Genomic DNA, 18,140 nt, shown 5'->3' on the forward strand with positions numbered 1-18,140 from the left:
ACAAAAATTAGCCAGGTGTGGTGGTGCACGCCTGTAGTCCCAGCTCCTCAGGAGGCTGAGGCAGAAGAATCGCTTGAACCTGGGAGGCGGAGATTGCAGTGAGCCGAAATCACGCCACTGCACTCCAGCCTGAGCCACAGAGTGAGACTCCAACTCAAAAAAAAAAAAAAAAAAATTAGCCAGGTGTGGTCGTGGGCGCCTATAGTCCCAGCTACTCAGGAGGCTAAGGCAGAGAATCGCTTAAACCTGGGAGGCTGAGGTTGCAGTGAGCCAACATGGTGCCACTGCACTCTAGCCTAGGCAAGAGAGTAAGCCTCTGTCTCCAAAAAAAAAAAAAAAAAAAATAAGGTACAAAATAACTATATGCTGAGCTGACATAACAGACTTCCCAGAGTTGGTTATAGAAAACATTGAAGTTTGGAATGGTCATTCTCACCAATCAAGAAAAAGACGATCACAGCAATAGTCCCATAGCAGATACTTCCACTACACCTTTTTGGTTTTGTGACATTGGCCTTTGTGTTATTGTCAGCATTTTCTTCTTCATCTACAGCAAGTTTCATCTCCACATGACTGTTATCGCCATCTACTTGCCGAGCCAGGCTGAACCGGGTATATGACAATGGTTCTCCACCAAACTGTGTTGCGGAAAAAGGCATGATGAAGAACAGGCACGGGAATGTTTAGGAAAAGCTCGTTTAGGTATATGCTTGTTATTGGGCCATTACTATAACTTGCTATATATTCCTTAGGGTGTTCTCCTTTCAAACCAACATTCTTCCCTGGGCCCAGTCAAGGGCTAGTTCACACTGGTCTTCTCAGTCAGTCTCTCCCTTTTTGTAAATTTTTTTTTTTTTTTGAGACAAGGTCTCCCTCTCTCTCCCAGGATGGAGTACAGTGGTGTGATCACAGCTCACTGCAGCCTCAAAATCCTGGGCTCTACTGATTCCCCCACCTCAGCCTCCTGAGTAGCTGGGACTAGGGGCACAAATCAGTTCAGGATACTATGCAGTAACCCAGACCATGATGTTGGTGGGAGCAAGGGAGCAAGAATAAAACAAAGTTATAAATAAGCAGAAATTCTGACTAAGCATAAGATAGAAGACAGAAAAGAGAGAATAGACCAGACACAGTGGCTCATGCCTGTAATCCCAGCACTCTGGGGGGGGCCGAGGCACACAGATCATTTATGGTCAGAAGTTTGAGACAAGCCTGACCAACATGGTGAAATCCCCTCTCACTAAAAATTCAAAAAAAAAAAAACCACTAGCTGGGCATGGTGTCGCACGCCTGTAATCTCAGCCACCCAGGAGGCTGAGGCAGGAGAATCGCTTGAACTCAGGAGGCGGAGGTTACAGTGAGCTAAGATTGCACACTGCATTCCAACCTGGGCAACAGAGCCCAGGCTGAGACTCCATCTCAAAAAATAAAATAAAAATAAATAAATAAATAAATACAAATAAGAGAGAATTGAGGTCTAGACAGAGTGTTAAGAGTTAGGCTCCTTCTCGTCATGGCCTGGATGGCTGTTTTTTTTGTATGTTCTTTCAGCTTTCACTCATACTGTCTACTCAATGTTTCTTAAAATTTCATTTTTTTTTTAATAGAGATGGGCTTGCTATGTTGCCCAGGCAAGTCTCAAACTCCTCAAGTGATCCTCCTGCCTCACCTCCCAAACTGCTGGGATTGCGGGAGTGAGCCACCACACTTGGCCTCATTCAGCCTTTGCTTTTTTTTTTTTTTTTGAGACGGAGTCTCACTCTGTTGCCCAGGCTGGAGTGCAATGGCGTGATCTCAGCTCATTGCAACCTCCGCCTCCCGGGTTCAAGCAATTCTCCTGCCTCAGCCTCCCAAGTAGCTGGGACTACAGGCATGCGCCATGACACTCAGCTAATTTTTTTTTTTTTTGTATTTTTAGTAGAGACCGAGTTTCACCATGTTGGTCAGGCTGGTCTTGAACTCCTGACCACAGGTGATCCACCCACCTCAGCCTCCCAAAGTGCTGGGATTACAGGCGTGAGCCACAGCGCCCCGCAAGCCTTTGCTTTTTACTTCTCCTACTAAAACATTTTGATCAGGGCTTTAATTCGTCTTATCTACTAAGCTGTCCCCGTCTACCACACCCAGAACCACTCTGAGAATTCTTCCAAGACTTTCCATAATTAACCCTACTGAAGGCTGAACTCTTTGTGAGATCAGTTATGCCTCAAGACTACCAATTCAAATGTAAATGAATACCTGATAATAGATTGGGGTTATTATTTCATGCTTACTCAGTTAAAGTCATGCTTGTATATTTCACATTCTTGCAGACACAGAAATACAACTGAAAATATCTTACCAAGTTAGAGAATGCTGATCTAGCTTGATCCATCATTCTGAACTGCCACACAGAAGAACCTAGGTATCAGAATAGAGAATTATTGAGAAAGATACTACTGTATCAGATTAGTGAGCTTTCTATTACCAGGCTAAATGATACATTAAATTTTTAAAATACATTATCACTTTTCTAGAAAAGGTATTTAACCATAGTTTACATGACAACTAAATTAAGTGGGATCCTTTTTAAAGTTTGTTATATACATAATTCTTTTTTTTTCTTTTTGTAGAGACAAGGTCACCCTATGTTGCCCAGGCTGGTCTTGAACTCCTGGCCTCAAACAATCCTCCCACCTTGGCCTCCCAAAGTGCTGCAATTATAAGTACGAACCACTATGTTCTGAGTAGACAAAAGTGACACATACTGCTGGGCGGGGTGGCTCACACCTGTAATCCTAGCACTTTGGGAGGCTGAGATGGGTGGATCACCTGAGGTCAGGAGTTCAAGACCAGCCTGGCCAACATGGAGAAACCCTGTCTCTACTAAAAATACAAAAATTAGCCGGACGTGGTGGTGGGCGCCTGTAATCCCAGCCACTCGGGAGCCTGAGGCAGGAGAATGGCGTGAACCCAGGAGGTGGAGCTTGCAGTGAGCCAAGATCGCGCCACTGCACTCCAGCCTGGAAAACAAGAGCAAAACTCTGTCTCAAAAAAAAAAGAAAGTGACACATACAAAAAGACAAAATTAAGACTAAGGCAGACAAGACCAGTTATGCTACAAATACCACAAACCATCTCCAATGGGAAGGGGAAGAAATACTGATCCTGACTGAATGAATAGTTCCTACAAGTGATTCGATCTTTGACACAAGAAGAAACATGAAACACAGATTACGCTGTTTTACAGATGAAGAGGCCAGTTATTAGAGAAACTAAGTGGCCTGTTCAAGGCTGAAAATTGATAATCTAAGCGAAGTTAAATGGGTTACTGGGTTATAGAAATTGTGTTATCATCTCTGGAAATTTAAGACATTAACCTTAACTTTTGTCAAAGCAAAATACATCTCTGTAATCAAAGTCCTAAGTTAAGTTAAAGGCCTTAACTGAAATCTGAATTTTCCAGTTAATTTGGTTTGAGGGCATCTAGATACTTGAAAATGACATTATCCTGAGATTTGCAAAATGGACATTTATTGGATACCATTTTAAAGCTTTTCCTATATACGAGTACACTTAGGGCATATTAAACACACACGGCACAAAGCAAGCTGTGAGGTATACGCAAATTGTAAAGCAAAGGGTATTATAACTGGCATTAAGAAAAAGCTTTCTGGCCAGGCACGGTGGCTCATGCCTGTAATCCCAACACTTTGGGAGGCCGAGGCAGGTGGATCACGAGGTCAGGAGTTTGAGACCAGCCTGGCCAAGGTGGTGAAACCCCATCTCTACTAAAAATACAAAAATTAGATGGGCGTGGTGGTGGGCACCTGTAATCCCAGCTACTGGGGAGGCTGAGGCAGGAGAATCGCTTGAACCCGGGAGGTGGAGGTTGCAGTGAGCCGAGATGGCACCACTGCACTCCAGCCTGGGTGACGGAGTGAAACTCCATCTCAAAAAAATAATAAAAAAGAAAAAGAAAAAGCTCTAAAACCTATTACAAAAAATTCTTTTTAAATTCAAGCTTTAAAAACCAGTGTCCATATGCAATAGACCATATTCTTAGAAGCATAATCTTTTTTTTTTTCTTGAGACAGAGTTTCGGTCTTGTTGCCTAGGCTGGAGTGCAATGGCAGGATCTCGGCTCACTGCAACCTCCCCCTCCCGGGTTCAAGCCATTTTCCCACCTCAGACTCCGAGTAGCTGGGATTACAGGTGCCCACCACCATGCCCAGCTAATTTTTGTATTTTTAGTAGAGACGGGATTTTACCACGTTGGCCAGGCTGGTCTGGAACTTCTGACCTAGGGTGATCCACCCACCTGGCCTCCCAAAGTGCTAAGATTAGTTACTTGATAAGAACATCCCAAGGAAATCGAAGGCGTGAGCCACTGCGCCCAGCCAGAAGCACAATCTTTTGCCCCTTCTGTTACAAAAAGCTTATCACTACCACTCCACCAGAACAGTAAGGACCCAATCATTAGAGCCAGAACTGGAAGGCCCCACCCTGAACCAATTTTAATCATCCTTTTCTAGGAAAAAACATCTTGCAAGTTTTAACACTCATCTGAACCATCATTCCTCAAGTTTTCTTGTTTTAAATTAATTTTAAGAACACAAAGCGATGGCCGGGCATGGTGGCTCACGCCTGTAATCCCAGCAACACTTTGGGAGGCCGAGGCGAGCAGATCACCTGAGGTTGAGAGTTTGAGACTAGCCTGACCAAACATGGAGAAATCCCATCTCTACCAAAAAAATACAAAATTAGCCGGGCATGGTGGCGCATGCCTGTAATCCCAGCTACTGGGGAGGCTGAGGCAGGAGAATCACTTGAACCTGGGGGAGGTGGAGGTTGCAGGGAGCCGAGATCACACCATTGCACTACAGCCTGGGCAACAAGCGTGAAACTCTGTCAAAAATAAATAAATAAATAATAATCTAAGCTACTTGTGTTATCTTTGGTGTTCTCAATGGTGACTGAAAACAACAATTCAATTTCTCACATTAATAATGAAGCTCAGGTAGGCAAAACGTAGCCCCACGTTTTGAACCATGAAATGGAACACATTCACTGCCTAACAACTTCACTACCCTCTATTTTCTCCAAAATCAGACAGAATCCAGCCCCTGTTTTTACCCACCAACATTCTTCTCTGTTCCTTGAGGTCCTCCTCATTTCTTCCAGGCTCAGCTCAAGGCTTCATCTCTATGAAGCCTTCTCTGACTGACTTCCCTATCCTGTAATAACTGGTATTGAACTACCTGATAATGAGTAAAAATATTGTCTTTAACAGTACTGGGGCATGCCTGATGCATGAGATTCCAAATGATATGAAAAATATAATGAAAACATTGGACCAGGAATCTTTTCCCGTCCCCATCACTCTTCTGGTTTAGTAGGGAGTTTTTTTGTTGTTGTTTTTGAGATGGCATCTCGCTGTCGCGCAGGCTGGAGTGCAGTAGCACGATCTCAGCTCACTACAACCTCTGCCTCCCAGGTTAAAGCGACTCTCGAGCCTCAGCCTCCTGAGTGGCTGGGATTACAGGTGTGCACCACCATGCCCAGCTAATTTTTGTATTTTTCGTAGAGACGGGGTTTCACCATGTTGGCCAGGCTAGTCTCGAACTCCTCACCACAAGTGATCCACCTGCCTCGGCCTCCCAAAGTGCTGGAATTACAGACGTGAGCCACCATGCCCGGCTAATTTTTGTGTTTTTAGTAGAGACAGGATTTCACCATGTTAGTCAGACTGGACTCGAACTCCTGACCTTAGGTGATCCGCCTGCCTTGGCCTCCCAAAGTGCTGGGATTACAGGCGGGAGCCAATGCGCCCAGCCGAGGGTCATTTTTAACTAGCATTGTGATCGATTCAGGTTTAGCTGGGAATCTTGCTCCATGACATTTAAATACATTATCAGAGGCAAGTAACTGCCTCGCCTTAGGGCGGAGTTAGCCAAACTGCTGTCTATCTAACAATCTTCAACACAGGCTAGGTTTACAGCCACCATTACTTGATAAGAACATCCAAAGGAAATTGAAGGATGCTATGCTATATATAACCTTGCAAAATCGATGACAAAAATTATCTTAACTCTGAGTTTTCTTGAGAAGCATATTGTAACCCAAAATTCAGGGCCGGGGGGCGGGGGGAACCAGCAGGGTCCACAAGTACTCTAGACAGCCTAACCTTAATTTTCACAGTAAGCTTAGCATATAAGCATGGGGTAGCCAAATACAATTTCCTACTTTAATCCTCTTATCAACGGGGAAGAAAATGGAAAAAGCTGCAGAATCCAGTCCCCCGGGTAAGTGAGGTCTCTACAAGCAGTAAGCAGAGGGAAAGCGTTATCCGAAAAGAGCCGAATCAGAATGTATTTTCTTACCCACCCTCCCAACCTTAAAAGAACTGTCCAGCAGAATGTGACACAATCGGCCTCTCCGGCGCCCATCAATCCAGCACAGCCCTCTGACCACACCGCTAATCTCCAAGTATCTTTCACAAATAAGTCACTCCTATGGCTCCCGTCTTGTAGTGAGAACTGCTAGCAATATTCTTAATGTGAACACCTGCGGCGTTCAGTCGGATTCTGCCTTGAGAAAACAGAATCCACACACAAGGCGAACAGGCAGAGCATGGCAAGATCAGGTTGTACCAGAGCCGAAGGGTAAGTTTACAGAAACCCGTATCTAATTAATGCCTGTAACACGCTAGTAACCGAATCGGGGACAGCTTTGTCCCTTTCCGCAGTGAGAACGGGGCCCGCCCGGAGCCCGGGGAACCGAAGGTTTAGGAGCCCAAGGTCACCCACGAATCCCAGCCGTTCCCTGGGGCGACTTCCTGGAGCAGCCACGTGTTCCCCCGGCGCCGCACGCCGCGCAGCTGCACCTTGGCTGCGCCCGCGCTCCCGGACCCGCAGCCCGGAGCCGGCGCACTAGGGCCTGCGGCCTTCAAGGGCGAGGACCCGAAGTCCCCGGGGCTGAGAGCGACAGTGGGGGTACACCTGGTCTCGTCATTCGTCGCTCTGTGACCGAGGAGGCGGGCAAGAAGGCAGAGAGAAGGGAAGGGACGAGAGGCGAAGGGACGAGAGGCGCAGGGACGCCTCTGCGCACAGCCGCCGACCCCGTGTACCTGCAGCCGCTCGAGGCGCCGCCACAGCCCCTTCCCCACAGGCTCGCGGCCCCGCTCCATCCCGGCCGCCCCGCCTGGGGCCGCGACCGCTTTCCCGCTCCCCGTGCGGCTCCCTATGGCTGCTGGACAGCACCGGAGCGGCCGCTCCAGCCAGCCCCGCAGGATGAAGGGAGGACACGAGGGTCGGTGTAGTTCTAGAAGCCCGCACTCACACTAGCGCGTCCTCCGTCCCGAGCCGCCACCCGATATCCCGACGCTCTGAGGGGATGGCGGCCCCTAACCGGCGGTTTATAGCCTGGCCCCGCCCCCGGCCCCCAGGGGGGCTGTGCGTCACTTCCTGAGGCACGTACGCTCGCGAGGTGCTCTGACAGATCGCCCGGGGGGCGGGGATGCGCGCGCAGCGGGCGGGGCCCTATGCGGAGGGCGCTGCGGGCGAGGCGAAGGCCAAGGGAAAAGGCGCCAAGGCAGCAGGTGCCCCGAGGAGCCGCGCGATGGGCGCACTGGCCTCTGCCTCGGCGCCTTCCTCCACCCTGGTAGCCTGGCAGCCTCCGCCTGACCTTGACCAACCTCCAGTCCCTGCAGTGCTAGGTCCAATCTGTTGGCGTTGACGCTTAAATGTTGGATATTGCACTGCGGCAGTGCCTTGAAATGTACGTGCAGGATGGAATGTTAGGTAACTATTAAAGCCACTCTTGTGAAGATGTATTTTGCAGCCTCAGAAATACAAAAAGGAAAAGAAAAGCAAAATGCAAATTTTTATTCAGAATGTATACAAGCTGCACTTTAACCAAGACTAGCGGAGTGCTTTGCGTAATGTTTAATGCATGAGGGAATAAAAGGGAAAATAGAAACAAGTGACTTAATAGGGTGATAGGATTGTAGATTAACTTTCGTTTTCATTGCCATCGCTGTTATTGGATTGTGCAATGAATAACAAATAAATAAAATTCAATTCTTGTCACTGTTTAAACTCTTTCCAAACAATCACACCCTCTCCCTCCCTCTGGTCAGTAACCAGCAGGCCAGGGAGGTAGTAGCTACAATGCAAGAAAGCAACCCATACCTTAAAAAGCATTGCACATAAACTGACCTTCAGGCCCGTAGGGACACAGAACAGCCCTTTAAGAAGCAAATCCGTTTCTGGGCCTTGGGCTTTTACTCTTCCCTTTATTTCTTCTGCTCTAAGATAGAGAAAGTACTTGGGATTCTCACCGCCTTTCTCTTTACTCCCATTCTCTAAAATCTCTCTCCCCAAAGAGAAGTGTTTAAAAGTCATATGAGTTGCCAGGCGCGGTGGCTCACGCCTGCAATCCTAACACTTTGGGAGGCCGAGGTGAGCGGATCACGAGGTCTGGAGTTCGAGACCAGCCTGACCAATATGGTGAAACCCCATCTCTACTAAAAAAATTTCAAAAAAAATTAGCCAGGCATAGTGGCACGCGCCTGTAATCCCAGCTACTCAGGAGGCTGAGGCAGAAGAATCGCTTGAACCCAAGAGGCGGAGGTTGCAGTGAGCCAAGATCGCGCCATTGCACTCCAACCTGGGCGACAGAGCAAGATTCCATCTCAAAAAAAAAAAAAAGTCATATGAGCAGGAGCATTGCTGCACCTTTAATGATCTAATCAGGAAAAGGTTAAGGATGCACATCCACAGAGGGCCTACCTTAACATTCAGACACCAGGCCTGCTCCCCTGTGGTGTTCCTTCTTTATTTCTTTAATTATTAATTTTATTTATTTTTATTATTTTTACTTTTAAGACAGTGTCTTGCTCTGTCACCCTGGCTGGAGTACAGTGGCATGATCTCGGGCTCACTGCAACCTCTGCCTCCGGATTCAAGCGATTCTCCTGCCTCAGCCTCCCAAGTAGCTGGGACTACAGGTGTGTGCCACCATGCCAGGCTAATTTTTGTATTTTGAGGAGTGACGGGATTTTATCATGTTGGCCAGGCTTGTCTCGAATTCCTGACCTCAGGTGATCTGCCCACCTTGGCCTCCTAAAATGTTGGGATAACAGGCATGAGCCACCATGCCCAGCCTATTTATTTTTTATTTTTAATTTGACGCAGGGTTTGCTATGTAGCCCAGACTAGTCTTGAACTCCTGGGCTCAAACAATCCTCCTGCCTCCGGTCTCCCAAAGTGCTGGGATTATAGGCATGAGCTAACATGCCTGGCTTTCTGCCTTTCCTTGACTGAAGTATCTTTTAAAAAGAAACAAACAATGCTGGTATTTGCAGGTGAAAATCTTATAGCCTCATGGAGGACATAGGTTTAGGTGGCCAGATGCGATGGCTAATCCCTGTAATCCCAACACTTTGGGAGACTGAGGCAGGTGGATCTTCTGAGGTCAGGAGTTCAAGACCAGCCTGGCCAGCATGATAAAACCCCATCACAACTAAAAATACAAAATTTAGTCTGGCGTGGTGGCGCACACCTGTAGTCCCAGCTACTCCAGAGGCTGAGGCAGGAGAATCGTTTGAACCCGGGAGGGGGGTGGCTGCAGTGAGCTGAGATCACACCACTGCCCTTCAGCCTGGGCAGCAGAGCAAGACTCTGTCTCAAAAAAAAAAAAAAAAAAGAAAGAAAGAAAGAAAAGAAAAGAAAGAAAAATATGTTTAGGAGACATTTAGAGGCCAGGACCATTTGGACATGAAAATTCAAATCTCAAAAATTTATATTCACTAAAATAAAACCATAAACGTGACACTAAAGAGGCTATCAATTATATTTTTATTTTTATGCTGTTATTAGTATTAATAGACACTGCAATTAAAGTCCACTTATTAACACTTTTACTATTTATTTATTTATTTTTAAACAGTCTTACTCTGTCACCCAGGCTGGAGTGCAGTGGCGCCATCTCGGCTCAATGCAACCTCCACCTGGGTTCAAGCGATTCTCCTGCCTCAGCCTCCCGAGTAGCTGGGATTACAGGCACGTGCCACCACGCATGGCTAATTTTTTGTATTTTTAATAGAGACGGGGTTTCTCCATGTTGGCCAGGCTGGTCGTGAACTCCTGCCCTCATGATCTGCCTGCCTTGGCCTCCCAAAGTGCTGGGATTACAGGCGTGAGCCACCGAGCCTGGCCAAATTATTCGAAATTATTATTGGAAATTATTTAATTTCCAACCCTCCACAAACTATTCCATGAGGCTTACCTCATCCTGGAACTAAAACTCTTGCAGTTCTTCTGCATCGTACACAGAAATACGAGAAGTTTCATAAAGGGAAGGAGGTTGGCAAGGAAAAAGATACCATGAGCTGTGGGGAAAAGAAAAGAGCACAAAGCCTGGAGGGCCAAGAAGCTGGAGTTCTCAACTTTCCTGAGCCTGGGTTGTACCAGCTCTAAAATGGGAATAAAGGCTGGGCACGGTGGCTCACACGTCTAATCTCAGCACTTTGGGAGGCTGAGGCGGGCGTATCATTTGAGGTCAAGAGTTCGAGACCAGCCTAACCAATGTGGTGAAACCCCATCTCTACTGAAAATACGAAAATTAGCCGGGTGTGGTGGCAGGCACCTGTAATCCCAGCTACTCAGTAGGCTGAGGCAGGAGAATCGCTTGAACCCGGGAGGCAGAGGGTGCAGTGAGCTGAGATTGTGCCACTGCACTCCAGGCTGAGAGACACAGCAAGACTCCTTCTCAAAAAATAAAATGGGAATAAAAATACCTCATTCCAAAAATACCTCTTTTAGGGTCTAGAAGACCCTAAAAGCAATGACTGGCACATCATACACTGTTGGTCAGCATGGTTGAATCAGAGTCCTCGTGGGGCGGAGTGGGGTCAGGTAGGAACGTGACGTGGAAGATGTCTGCAGACTGGGATGGATGTGGGCTCATGAAGAGGAAGGATGAAGGCATTTCAGCAGAGGAGAACCGGCCACCTGAAGGCTCTGTAGTGAGAAGGAGCCTGTGGTGTGTGTTAAAATTCCTAAGGAGATGTCTGACAGCTAATTCAGGGGAATTACTGCTGGAAACAACAGTGCAGGATGATTAACGGCAAAATTCTGCCTCCCTCTCTTTTTTCTTCACCAAGAGATGAAAGCAGAAGTCTTGCTTTTTGGTGAGAGAGAACTGGCAGGAAAAGCAAACCAGATAAGCCACTTACCTAGTGAAAGAGCCCCAGCTGGCAGGGCATGGAGGCTCACGCCTGTAATCCCAGCACTTTGGGAGGCAGAGGCAGGAGGATCACTTGAGGTCAGGAGTTCGAGACCAGCCTGGCCAACATGACAAGACACTGTCTCTACTAAAAATACAAAAATTAGCCAGGCGTGGTTTTGTGTGCCCATAATCTCAGCTACTTAGGAGGCTGAGGCAGGAGAATCGTTTGAACCTGGGAGGCGGAGGTTGCAGTAAGCTGAGGCTGGGCCACTGCACTCCAGTCTGGGTGACAAAGTGAGTCCGCCTCAAAAATAAAATAAAAAGCCCCCGCCTAGAAATTAGCAACTTGTCCCAGTGGGACTGTCACCCACTGTGCTGCGGAAACATGGGCGTCAGTCATGGCTCTGTACTTCATTTTCCCTGTCTGCCATGTGGAAATAATATCCCTTTATTGCCTTCATTCATTTACCAGTGAAATAAAAAGTAAGAAAACTTATTAAACTACATGTTTATACAAATTTAAGGTGTTACTAGTGCAGAGCCCAGTCTAAGTGAATAAATGTGGTGGTGACGGGTCGAAGCTTTAAAAAAAAAAAAAGAAAAGGAAAATTTTTTTTTCTCGCTCTGTCACCCAGGCTGGAGTGCAATGGCGCAGTCTCGGCTCACTGCAACCTCCGCCTCCCAGGTTCAAGCGATTCTCCTGCCTCAGCGTCCCGAGTAGCTGGGATTACAGGTGCCTGCCACCACACCCAGCTAATTTTTGTATTTTTAGTGGAGATGCGGTTTCACTATGTTGGCCAGGGTGGTCTCGATCTCCTGACCTCGTGGTCTGCCTGCCTCGGCCTCCCACAGTGCTGGGATTTCAGGCGTGAGCCACCGCGCCCGGCCCTTCAACGGCTTTTGAATGCACCTACTCCAGAAAAAGTGACTTGGTCATTGATAATAGTGGATACAGAAAGGTAATGCCATCATTATTTATCGAGTACTGTTATGTGCTGGAAAAGGACGTGTAAAGAGGTAAGAAGCAAGTCTGTACCCCTGAAAAGGCAAACAATGTAGCTGGGGAAGCATAATGTATATTTATAAGAACTTATATTTAAAGGCCAGGCCTAGTGCGGTGGCTCATGCCTCTAATCCCAGCACTCAAGAGGCCAAGGCAGGAGGATCGATTGCTTGAGGCCGGGAGTTCAAGACCAGCCTGTGCAACACAGTGAGACCCCCTATCTCTACAAAAAAAACTTAAAAATTGCCAGGTGTGGTGGTGCTGCCTGTAGTCCCAGCTACTCTGGGGGCTGAAGTGGGAGGATGGCTGGAGCCCAGGAGTTCAGGGTTACAATGAACTGTGATTGCACCACTGCACCCAGCCTGGGCAACAGAGCAAGACCCTGTCTCAACTAATAATAATAATAATAATAATAATAATAAATATATAATGCCAGTCACTGTGGCTGTAGTGAGCCGAGATTACATCACTGCACCCAGCCTGGGCAACAGAGCAAGACCCTGTCTCAAATAATAATAATAATAAATATATAATGCCAGTCACTGAGGCTGTAGTGAGCCGAGATTGCACCACTGCACTCCAGCCTGGGCAACAGAGCAAGACCCTGTGTCAAATAATAAGAATAATAAGAATAAATATATAATGCCAGTCACTGTGGCTCATGTCTGTAATCCCAGTACTTTGGGAGGCCGAGGCAGGTGGATGGCCTGAGTGCGGGCATTTGAGACCAGCCTGGACAACATGGCAAAACCCCATCTCTACCAAAAATACAAAAAATTAGCTGGGCATCTGGAGGCTGAGGTGAGAGAACAGCTTGAGCTTGGGACGCTGAGGCTGTAGTGAGCCAAGATTGCATTGCTGCACCCAGCCTGGGCAACAGAGCAAGACCCTTTCTCAAATAATAATAATAACAATAATAATAATAATAAATATATAATGCCAGTCACCGTGGCTCATGTCTGTAATCCGCAGTACTTTGGGAGGCCGAGGCAGATGGATGGCCTGAGTGCAGGAGTTCGAGACCAGCCTGGACAACATGGCGAAACCCCATCTCTACCAATAGTACAAAAAATTAGCTGGGCATCTGGAGGCTGAGGTGAGAGAATGGCTTGAGCTTGGGAGGCTGAGGCTGTAGTGAGCTGGGATTGCATTACTGCACCCAGCGTGGGCAACAGAGTGAGACTGTCTCAAAAAAAAAAATCCCACAAAAATACCATTAATTTGCCAACTTTGTAATAGAGTTACAAAGTTGCCACTTGCTCTTTCTGGGGTCCTACCTGTGGCCCAAACAGCAGATGAAGTCTCTTAGTTCAGCATTTCTCAAACGTTTTTTACTGCATTTCATGGACAAATGTCCATCTTACTTCACAACTCAGTACACCCATGTGTATGCGTGTGTGTATGCGTGTGTATACACGTGTATATTTCCTTCAGTATACCCACGTGGATGTGTGTGTATATATGTGTATATTTCCTTGAAACCCAAAGTAAAAGTTTCATGAAATAATACCCTTGAGGTGTGGAAAGCCCTCCAGAATTTTCTATTCTATTTAATAGTAAAAATGCTAATTTTTAACCCATTCAATTGATTTCCCAATGGGCCGTAACCTATTTTTGAAAAGCATAGTCCTAGGCCATTTCCTCTCTCAGAGCACAAGACTTTTTAGTGAACAGGATAAATGACTTTTTAGTGAACAGGATAAATGATGCTCAAAGTTAAATTTCAATTCCCAAGGTTTCTCCCTGTTCTTTCTGCTTGTCGCTGTTTCAACTTTCTACCGCCCTACATTTCAGCAAATATTGGTTACGGTTTTTTTGTTTGTTTGCTTGTTTGTTTGTTTTTAATGAGTTGGGAGGCTGAGTTAGAAGGCAGAGAGAAAGTCTTTTCAATCTTTTTTTTTTTTTTGAGATGGAGTCTCACTCTGTCACCCAGGCTGGAGTGCAGTGATGCAATCTCGGCTCACCACAACCTCTGCCACCTGGGTTCAAGTGATTCTCCTGCCTCAGCCTCCTGAGTAGCTGGGACTACAGGCGCACCACCACGCCTGGATAATTTTTGTATTTTTATTAGAGATGGGGTTTCACCATGTTGGCCGGGCTGGTCTCGAACTCCTGACCCCATTGATCCACCCGCCTCAGCCTCCCAAAGTGCTGGGATTACAGGCGTGAGACACCACACCCAGTGTTTTCACTATTTTTACTTTTTTAAATTTCTTAAAATAAAATATGTAGAACGAGGGTCTCCCTATGTTGCCCAGGCTGGTCTCAAACTCCTGGGCTCAAGGGATCCTTCTGCCTCGGCCTCCCAAGGTGCTAGGATTACAGGCTTGAGCCACCATGCCCGGCCTGAAGTCTTTTCAAATGCTGTCAAATAGCTGCACACACTCCGGTCAGTGAGGGCAGCACCCTGCCTGTCACACGGCTGGTCTTCACAGCAGCTTCTACAGAAATCACTCTAACCTACCTTTAGCTCTGACCCTAGCTCCTATTTAACATGCCGGATCCATTTTATTTTCCTTGGAATCCTAAGCCTCGGGCAATCACTTTAGGACCAGAGTCATAAAATAAAAATGTGGAGCTCTGCCACTTTGGAAGAGGATGCAACCTAGAAAAAAGGCAGGTGGACTGTCAACTCATAGATTTGAGGTTGATACTATTTTCCATTTTATTTTGCATTTCTTTTTCTCCACCCTCAGTTTCCTGTCCTTATCCTGCTGACTCAATTATTTTTTCTTTCTCCATTGCCAAACGGAAGGTCACCCACGAGAACATGGAATAGGGGCAAGATTCAGATTAATATGGAGGAGTTTGCTCCCATTTTATAGCAAATGGAAAGGTTACTTAGGACAGTGAAAGATAACTAATTTTGTTTTTTTTTTGTTTGTTTGTTTGTTTTCTTTTGAGATGGGGTTGTGCTCTGTCACCCAGGCTGGAGTGCAGTGGCACGATCTCAGCTCACTGCAATCTCCACCTTCCGGGTTCAAGTGATTTTCCTGCCTCAGCTTCCTGAGTAGCTGAGATTACAGGTGCCCACCACCATACCCAGCTAATTTTTGTATTTTTAGTAGAGATGGGGTTTCACCATGTTGGCCAGGCTGGACTCGAACTCCTGACCTCAAGTGATGCACCCACCTTGGCCTTCCAAAGTGTTGGGATTACAGGCGTGAGCCACCATGCCTAGCCAAAGACAATTTTTAAATTGATTACAAGGACATTTATGCCAACCAGTACAGTGGTCTAAGTTGAAGTTTTGAGTAGGATATGAAGTTCTATTTAGTCCCATTCGGAGGCAAAATAGAACTCACTGCATAATAGAGTTTCAAGTTCAGAAGGAACTATATAACTAATGTACTGTCTCTGACCTATAGTAGGTGCTCAAAAAATGTATGTTGAATTAATTCAACAAAATTCCTCTACTTCACCTCATCAGGTGGTTATCTAGTGTCTCCTTTACCTCTCCAATGGGAGCAAATCTATAATTTCCCAAAGCAGAAAGACCTGGGCAGTTTGAACTGTCAGAAAGTTTTTATCTGGGCCAGGTGCGGTGGCTCACGTCTATAATATCAGCACTGTGGGAGGCCAAGGTGGGCAGATAACCTGAGGTCATTCAAGACCAACCTGGCCAACAGGGTGAAACCCCATCTTTACTAAAACTACAAACATTAGCCAGGCATGGTGGCGCACACCTGTAATCCCAGCTACTCAGGAGGCTGAGGCAGGAGAATTGCTTGAACCCAGGAGGCGGATGTTGCAGTGAGCTGAGATCGCACCACTGCACTCCAGCCTGGGCGACAGCGTGAGACTCTGTCTCAAAAGAAAAACAAAAGTTTGATCTACTAAACTAAATTCTCTCTCCCTCTTCTATATATTAATTATTTTATATATATATATATTTTTTTTAAATAGATATGGGGTCTTGCTATGTTGCTCAGGCTGGTCTCAAACTCCTGGGATCAAGCAGTCCTCCTACCTCAGCCTCCCAAAGTGTTGGGATTACAGGTGTGAGCCAACACGCCCATCCTATAAATTAATTATTGTTTGAAGACTGCTCTCCTGTTCACAGCTGTCTTCTCCAGCTAAATATCCAAATCTCTTCTAATGGTTACCACAGGGCGTGATTCCATGTCTCCCCACCCACTGGTCACTTTGTGGTTTTTTTTGTGTGTTTTTTTTTTTATTTTTTTGTTTTGAGATGGAGTTTCGCTTTTGTCGCCCAGGCTGGAGTGCAGTGGCATGATCTCCGCTCACTGCAACCTCCGCCTCCCAGGTTCAAGCGATTCTCCTAACTCAGCCTCCCGAGTAGCTGGGATTACAGGCGCCTTCTACCACGCCGGGCTAATTTTTGTGTTAGTACAGACGGAAGTTTGCTGGTCTCGAACTCTTGACCTCAGGTGACCTGCCCGCCTTGGCCTCCCAAAGTGCTAGGATTACAGGCATGAGCCACCGCGCCAGGCCCCACTGGTCATTTTTGGAAGTATAGTTTGGCCAATCCAGAGGGGGCAGGAACATCATTCCCCTGTTGTAGATGCTGCAGCTTTTGGTGGCCATCTGTCTGCCACCATATTCACTACCTTAATAGCCACTGTCTATTGTTAACTTCTGTTGAGTTTTCAGCAGGGTTCAAGGGAATAGATCAATCTTTGGAGCAGAAAGACCTGGGCCCCAAATCTAGTTTTGCCGTGTACTAGTACCCTCTATGCTCCTTTTATCATGGAGAATGTGATATCCAGGTACTGTTACAGTCTACTATAGCGTATGAAGAGGATCTGTCCCCGCTTATCACCAGTCTAATTCAGCTGGAGGTGGAAAAGAGCCTGATCTATTTGGCTAGGAACATCCTTGCCTTGGAGCTGAATAAAAATAGCCAAGGTTTATTGTACATCTACCAGGTGCTCCATTCTAGCGCCTTTAAACATATGAGCTCATGCAATCCTCAGAACAATTCTTAAAAATAAATTCTTAAAAAAAATTAAAAACTCTTAAAAATAAAGAGGTAATCCCATTTTCAGGTGTGGAAACTAGCTTAATACAGAAGTAAAGTAACTTGCCCCATGTCACATGGCTAATAAATAGTGACAGCAAGAATTCAAGCCTAGGTCATCTAGCTTCTAACCTGGCCCTAAAAAATTCCACTACACTGCCTCCTTACAAACCCAGGCATGACACAGACTGACTGCACCACCCGCACAGCTCTGCAGACACCTCCCCAGGGAAGAATTTCTATTCAAGAGGTACAGGGACCATCTAGGTGGAACCATTTGAGAAGATCTAGTATCTGAGGGATCTATTTTTTTTCACTTCAGATTTAAGTTAATTTCAAAATTTGGATTCATATTCCTATGTGGGGAATCCCAGATATTTCTTTCTTTTCTTTCCTTTTTTTTTTTTTTTTTGAGACGGAGTTTCACTCTTCTTGCCCTGGATGGTGCAATAGCGCCATCTCAGCTCACTGCAACCTCCACCTCCTGAGTTCAAGCAATTCTCCTGCCTCAGCCTCCCAAGTAGCTGGGATTACAGCCATGCGCCACCACGCCCAGCTAATTTTTTTTTTTTTGAGACGGAGTCTCTCTGTGTCACTGAGGCTGGAGTGCAGTGGTGTGATGTCGGCTCAGTGCAACCTCTGACACCAGGGTTCAAGCGATTCTCCTGCCTCAGCCTCCTGAGTAGCTGAGATTACAGGCAAGTGCGACCACACCCGGCTAATTTTTGTATTTTTAGTAAAGACGAGGTTTCACCATGTTGGTCAGGCTGGTCTCGAACTCCTGACCTGATCCACCCGCCTCGGCCTCCCAAAGTGCTGGGATTATAGGCGTGAGCCACCGCGCCTGGCTAGAATCCCAGATACTTCTAAAAATAAGAGTTTGTAGTACAACTGATGCTCCAGAAATCTGGGTACCATTTGACAGAAATGCAGTGCATTCATATT

The 18,140-nt window shown here is 46.4% G+C and overlaps 1 protein-coding gene across 4 annotated transcripts in view, besides 5 other annotated features; it reads right to left on the bottom strand.

Annotated features, from left to right (window-relative positions):
* TFRC (transferrin receptor) overlaps positions 1-7,368 on the bottom strand; it is a 32,807-nt gene extending 25,439 nt beyond the window's left edge. For 2 of the 4 annotated variants that reach the window (NM_001313966.2, NM_001313965.2), the window contains exons 1-2: positions 7,321-7,368; positions 2,342-2,400 (exon numbers count right to left, since the gene is read on the bottom strand). Coding sequence is in view for 2 of the 4 variants with exons in the window: in NM_001128148.3 (NP_001121620.1) it covers positions 437-638; positions 2,342-2,377 (238 nt within the window). In the remaining 2 variants the exon portion in view is untranslated. Of the gene's footprint in view, positions 1-436; positions 639-2,341; positions 2,401-7,108 lie in introns of all 4 variants that reach the window. The other 2 variants (NM_001128148.3, NM_003234.4) reach the window with 2 other exon arrangements.
* Positions 5,620-6,119: an enhancer, noted in NCBI's record as "H3K4me1 hESC enhancer chr3:195807213-195807712 (GRCh37/hg19 assembly coordinates)". NCBI's record gives its function as "activates a minimal SCP1, AML or CMV promoter by ChIP-STARR-seq in naive H9 embryonic stem cells {active_cell/tissue: H9 hESC(naive)}" and the evidence as "EXISTENCE:reporter gene assay evidence [ECO:0000049][PMID:30033119]".
* Positions 7,001-7,300: a silencer, noted in NCBI's record as "silent region_15052". NCBI's record gives its function as "represses an Ori minimal core promoter by ATAC-STARR-seq in GM12878 lymphoblastoid cells {active_cell/tissue: GM12878}" and the evidence as "EXISTENCE:reporter gene assay evidence [ECO:0000049][PMID:35858748]".
* Positions 7,351-7,690: a silencer, noted in NCBI's record as "silent region_15053". NCBI's record gives its function as "represses an Ori minimal core promoter by ATAC-STARR-seq in GM12878 lymphoblastoid cells {active_cell/tissue: GM12878}" and the evidence as "EXISTENCE:reporter gene assay evidence [ECO:0000049][PMID:35858748]".
* Positions 10,753-10,925: a silencer, noted in NCBI's record as "fragment chr3:195812346-195812518 (GRCh37/hg19 assembly coordinates)". NCBI's record gives its function as "represses an EF-1alpha promoter that drives an FKBP-Casp9 reporter gene in an ReSE screen in K562 erythroleukemia cells {active_cell/tissue: K562}" and the evidence as "EXISTENCE:reporter gene assay evidence [ECO:0000049][PMID:32094911]".
* Positions 17,719-17,907: a silencer, noted in NCBI's record as "fragment chr3:195819312-195819500 (GRCh37/hg19 assembly coordinates)". NCBI's record gives its function as "represses an EF-1alpha promoter that drives an FKBP-Casp9 reporter gene in an ReSE screen in K562 erythroleukemia cells {active_cell/tissue: K562}" and the evidence as "EXISTENCE:reporter gene assay evidence [ECO:0000049][PMID:32094911]".

Source organism: Homo sapiens, chromosome 3, assembly GCF_000001405.40.
Source record: "Homo sapiens chromosome 3, GRCh38.p14 Primary Assembly".
NCBI lineage: Eukaryota > Metazoa > Chordata > Mammalia > Primates > Hominidae > Homo > Homo sapiens.